The 5,920-nt window shown below is 40.4% G+C and overlaps 1 annotated feature.

Moving 5' to 3' along the window:
- Positions 3,963–4,257: a silencer, noted in NCBI's record as "tiled region #12883; HepG2 Repressive non-DNase unmatched - State 23:Low". NCBI's record gives its function as "represses a minimal TATA promoter and a strong SV40 promoter by Sharpr-MPRA in HepG2 cells {active_cell/tissue: HepG2}" and the evidence as "EXISTENCE:reporter gene assay evidence [ECO:0000049][PMID:27701403]".

Here is a 5,920-nt window from a genome sequence, read left to right on the forward strand (position 1 = left end):
GCGCAATCAAAGCAATGGCTACCGCGAGGCAGAAGTGGTCCATCCAGTCAAAGCAAAAGAGGAACAGCCAAGAGCAGAGGTCATGGCAACAGTTTTTTGAGATGCTCAAGGAATTTTGTTTGTTGAATTTTTGGAGGTCCAAAGAACAATAACATCTGCTTATTATAAGGATGTTTTGAGAAAGTTAGCCAAAGCCTCAGCCAAAGGAACTTTTGGGTAAACTTCACTAGAAAGTCCTTCTCCACCACAACAATGATCCTACTCATTCCTCGCATCAAACAATGACAATTTTGCAGGAGTTTAATGGGAAATTATTAGACATCTACCTTACAGTTTTAATTTGGCTTTATCAGACTTCTTTTTTGTCCCCCAATCTTAAGAAAATCTTTAAAGGGCATTCATTTTTCTTTAGTTAATAATGTGATAAAGACCACAGTGACATCTTTAAATTCCTGTGACTCTCAGTTCTGTAGGGATGGACTAAATGGCTGGAATCATCACTTACAAAGGTGCTTTGAACTTAATGGAGCTTATGTGGAGAAATAAAGCTTATGTTTTATATTTTTATCATTCAATTCCACTTTCCACTAACTTTGTTTAAGTCCTCTCACAGTAGGTGCTCAGTTGATGCTGATTTATTTCCCATTTTTTATCTTGCCTCTTTTGAGAGTCACTGAATGAAAGAAACCTGAATTACCATCAAGCTCATTGTATTAGTTTGCTAGGGCTGCCAATAGCAAAGTACTACACACTGGTAACAACAGATATTTATTGTCTCACAATTCTGGAAGCCATAAGAACAAGATCAAGGTGTTGGAAGGGTGGGCTGATTTGGATAGTTGTGAGGAAGAATCTGTTTGATACATTTCTCCTAGTGTCCAGGGAATCTTTGACATTCTTATGATACAGAAGCTAGAAAGAAATTATTTAGGCAGACAATAAGGGCAACAGAGTCCTCAGTGGAATTCCCCTTTTAATAAAAAAGCATCTCCCAAATCATTTCTTTTCTAACAAAGAGCAGACTGAAAAATCGAGCTGCAGACATAGATAAGCAAGTTGGAAGCTTGCATGGGTGAATGCCAGCAGCTGTGCCAACAGAAAAGGGCTACTTGGGGACCAGGTATGTTCAACATGGAGGCTCCATCTTCCCTTTTCCTTGTCACCATGTGTACAGTAAAGAAACAGGCAACATGGTACTGGCCAGGTAGAGAACCCATCTGCATAATTAAAGATTAGGCCAGCTTTTTGCACCCTATGCAAATGGCACACCTGGTCCAAACAATCTTTTGTACCCTATGTAAATCAGACACTGCCCCCTCAAGCTCATCTATAAAACCCACTGCATTTCACCCCAGAAGTGGCAACCCGCTTCTTTGGGGCCCCTCTCTGCCACAGAGAGCTCTTCTCTTTCTTTCACCTATGAAACTTCCACTCCAAACCTCACTCTTTCTGTTTCTGTGTCCTAGTGTTCCATGACTGTGAGACAACAAATCTCAGGTATTTACTCCAGACAACAAGGCCGCTTCATTTAGGCTTCTAGAAGCACCACCCCAATCTCTGCTTTCATCTTCACATGGCGTTCTCTCTGTGTGCATGTTTCTGTGTCCAAATTTTCCTTTTCATAAAGACATTAAGCCCAGCCTAATGACCTTATCTTATTACATCTGTAAGGAAATGATCGTGAAATACAGTTACATTCTCAAGCACTGAGGGCTAGTCCTTCAACATATGAATTGGGAGAAGAGGGAGATATAATTTAACCCATAACACTGGGGAGCAAGTGATACAAATCGACTACCATCCCAGGCAACCCTTTAAATTTACAGACATCTTAAAACTTTATTGTTTCTTTCTATATAATTCTAGCATCATAGACATAGAACATATTTATTTTGTTTTCCTTCTGATTCATCTTAATAATTTGAAGAAAACTTCTCTTTGTTTCAGAGTCATCTGGGAAGCTTTAGACAAATCCTGATGCCCAGATCCAATTGCAGACCAATTATCTGAATTTCTGGGGGAAGGAACAAAGCCTTACTTTTCTTGTCAAAACTCTCCAGGTGATTCCTGTGTCTATCCAAAGTTGAGAACACTGGTCTATTAGATAATGGGAGTTTGTCCCAGCTCTACAGGTGAGAAAACTGACTGATGAAGAGCATATTACGAGACCTTTGGATTCAATCAAATATTTCACATTGGCTTTCTAACCACCAAAAGATTGGGAAAACAATTTGACATGAGCTTGTGTCCAATATTCCTTCCTTTATTTTTCAAACACATATATTTAAAAGGCAATGTGAACCATGTGTTTTTGATTTAGTGACACTGAAGTCATCATTGGAATGCGATTTTGTTAAAAGCTTGTTGATACTCCAGGACTCCATTTGAAAAGACCTGGTTGTTCAATGTGGAGTTGTGGGGTGGGTGGGGAGGCAAAGTTGAAACCTCAAAGGCTCTAGCCTATTTCCAAACATGTATTCAATTATTAAGAAACCCAAAAGTAACTGATTTATTTATTTTTAGGTCTGGGGATAATGCTGATGGCTGCATTTGGGGAAGAGGTGGGGAGCTGTGGCTGAAGGGGAACTATGAATCTCCTATATTCCTTTTTCCCCATCACACTGGTATCTCCTGGAAGTTCAAGAACCATGTCCTCTCTCTCCCTTTTTCTCTCCTCTCTGTCTCTTTGTCTTTCTCAAACTTAGCGTGAAGTCTTTAATTCATTCACTCATTAAACTTATACTGTTTTGTGCTAGGCTCAATGTTATAGAAAACATAGACAAAAATGTCCAGTTTTCATAAAATCTGAGCTAAAAGAAGCTCAGTTACAGAGCACAACAAATGCTTCAAGGTGAGAAATAACTTTCAGGAACACAAATAACTCTGAGCAAAATATGTACTATTAATAGAGATTTTCATGAAATTTTGTACCTAGTATGTAAGAGAACATCTAATCCAGTTGTTTCATTTTATAGATGGAGAGATTGAAGCCAAGAGTAAGAGAGATGGTGACTTACTTAAGATCACACAAAAAGCTATTTTTATGTCAGGGCAGAGACAAGATTTCTTACCTCTCAGACAAAGTTTTTTCAAAATGTTATCCTGCTGGGAGATGCCCACATAAAAATGAAATTGAAATATAAGCATGATTGCAATATATAAAGCAACATATAAGCATATATTGTTTTATTTTGCTGCAGTACAGTTGGCCTGCAACACCCCTAGCATTTGATATCAAGAACGGTAGTTTTGCTAAGCTATAAGAAGGTACAGGGCAGAGCCCATTCAAAGGCAAGAAGGACAGTCATTAAGCATGATGAGTTAAATATGGCAAAGAAAATGGTAATAGAGACTAGGACAAGGGGCCCCAGCTAAGAGCCTGTTTCAAGATCAGACAACAATGGAAGATGCTGTTCAAGCAAGGGAGAGAGAGGGAGGGTCAGACTGGCATTGCTGGACAGTGGTTTTCAAGCCTGGCTATGCATCAGAATGACATAAGATTTTTAAAACAATAGTGGTGCCCAGACTCCACCCTTCCTGCCCTCCCCCAGTAATTCTAATTTGTCTGAAATGGGTCCCAGACATTGTTATGACATATAAACTTCCCTGATGAGTGGACCATATTGTAACGGTCCAGGGAAGAAATGAGGAAAGGAGGGAAAGAACTGATGTAATGATAGAATGTGCTGCAGAGAAGGCTCTGTGGGAGAAACATCCAAGAGTGATTCAAGGGAACTTAGTGATGAATTGGGTAAGGGGGGAGAGAAAAGGAAGGTTCTGGCTTCAGTGTCTTGGCAGGTGATACATATATTCATAGGGCTGGAGAGAACATAGGATTTGAGGCTGCTGGGATGGGGGTGATGACGTCTTCATCTTTGGAGCTGTTGAGTTGAAATTGCCTGTGAAACAGCCAGGTGGAGTTTACAGCAGCCCATTGTATGAAGGGGCTCAGTACATAGTCCTGTGTTGGAGATTGACATATGTTAATATTTATGAACTCTGATCTGTAGTTGAAGTGAGATATAAATCCTCTAGCCAGGGTAAGGACAGCCAACAGGTCATTGCAAGCACTGGAAACATGAGCACACCCACCACCACTCCTAATTCACCCTCTGACAGATAACGACTGCAGGACACACCCCACCCCACCTCAGGTGTCCTGCTGCCCCAGGCTCATTCTCAGAGTTTGCTGTGATGTGGGACAAGGCAGTTACTGGAAACATGCTTCTTTTAATCAGCTAGGATCTATCCTAATCCTGGAGACCTGGGCAGAGAGGAGGGGGCAGATGGAAGTGTGGGAAGAGGGGGTGCAGGGAATTGCTGTGAAAGCCTTCCATTGTGTGTAGGTGGCTCTGAAAGAGGAAGAAATAGATGTCAGTAACAGCAACATCAGGGACGGGGAAAAATGCAAGCAGAACCTCAGATATGGGTCTCATCAAAAATCAAAATAGTCTTACATCATGCCCTAGATATAGCCAAACACAGATGAGGCTAGACCACCAATGAGGGGGCTCCCCAAGGCTCTAAGTCATTCTCTCATGCTTTGTTGGAAAAGCTGTCCCACTTAACTCCAAATATATGGCTCTGGACAGGAACAGAGAAGCCAGCTTGAGCAACATCTTCTGAGTCACTGGCCAAGAAATGCTTCCCCACCTATCCTTCAGGTAGGAGAGTGGACACTAGTCAAAAAGGCACAAGTATTTCCAATTCAATTTCCCTGCACATGGCTGCAAGAGACAAATGTCACCGATTGAGTCTGAGCTTCACACATCCCAACTTAAAGCTCATTAAAAAGCTCCCAAAAAATGAGGACTTCAAGCTTGGAGTTCCCTCTGAAAGCCATGCCGGATCTAAAGTTCAGATCTTACAACATGCAGGCACCAGACTAGTCATCTGACATGCATTTTTCTATTTAATTCCCACAAAAACTTTGCTGGGGCTTTGTGATCTACCCTAAGGTGACATAACCAATTCTTAAGGAAGAAGGCCTGGCACTTGCATTTTTGTTCACCCAACTCTCGTTCATTTCTTCCTTCTTCTACCAATACATAAACACATCTGCAGCTGGAGGTTTTCCCAGGACTGGCAGGGCACTCTGCTCTGCAAGAGTTACTTGAATTTACTAAGGGGTATTTGGTGGATTGTTGAGGGGGATAAAAATAATATGTCAGGTGGCTGGGACCCCAAGTTTAAGTTTGCTGTTCACTAGCCTTATGACTATAATGTGTGCACTTGGCCCTTTTGAATTGCAGTTTTCTCTTCAATGTAGTAGGGATAATAATACCTACCTCATTTTTTTTAGATTAAATGTCAAAATTGTTCATAATATGTTAAATTTGCTAGCTTAGTATCACTGACTTTAACGTTAACTAGGTAAGGAAGAAACTACCCAAATACTGGACTCTAGCCAAGAAATACACACTATCTTTATCTTGGTTTTAATGAGATGCTCTCGTAATCATTCTATTTGCATAGCCTTAAGAATTAACAATGCAATTCAATGGTAACTGACTCTACTGTGGCAATGTAACAGCATCATCGATTAGTACAATGGAAAAGTAAGATTATTCTTTTAAAATTTAGTCTTGATGACCACTTGGCATGCCTTTCCATGCATGCCTTCTCCCTGAGCTGAGATAAGCAAAAAATGCCAAACAATAGGGAGTATTGGTGAGACATACTGGCTTTGGCAAGGCAGAAAAAAAAAAAAAGCACTAGTAATTCAATTTAGACTAAGATTTGTTTCTTCTGATCAGGTCAAACAAAAACTGTGAAAGCTCAATGATTCAATATTCTTTCACCACAACCTAAGGCAAGTCTCCTTATGTGGCCTGGCTGCTTAATTTATAGTATTATTTATCTCAGACCTCTATATTTCATCTAAATGTGGTCCTAGACATATTGCAATAACAAGTATGGT

The sequence above is a fragment of the Homo sapiens genome, chromosome 2, assembly GCF_000001405.40.
Source record: "Homo sapiens chromosome 2, GRCh38.p14 Primary Assembly".
Taxonomy (NCBI): Eukaryota; Metazoa; Chordata; class Mammalia; order Primates; family Hominidae; genus Homo; species Homo sapiens.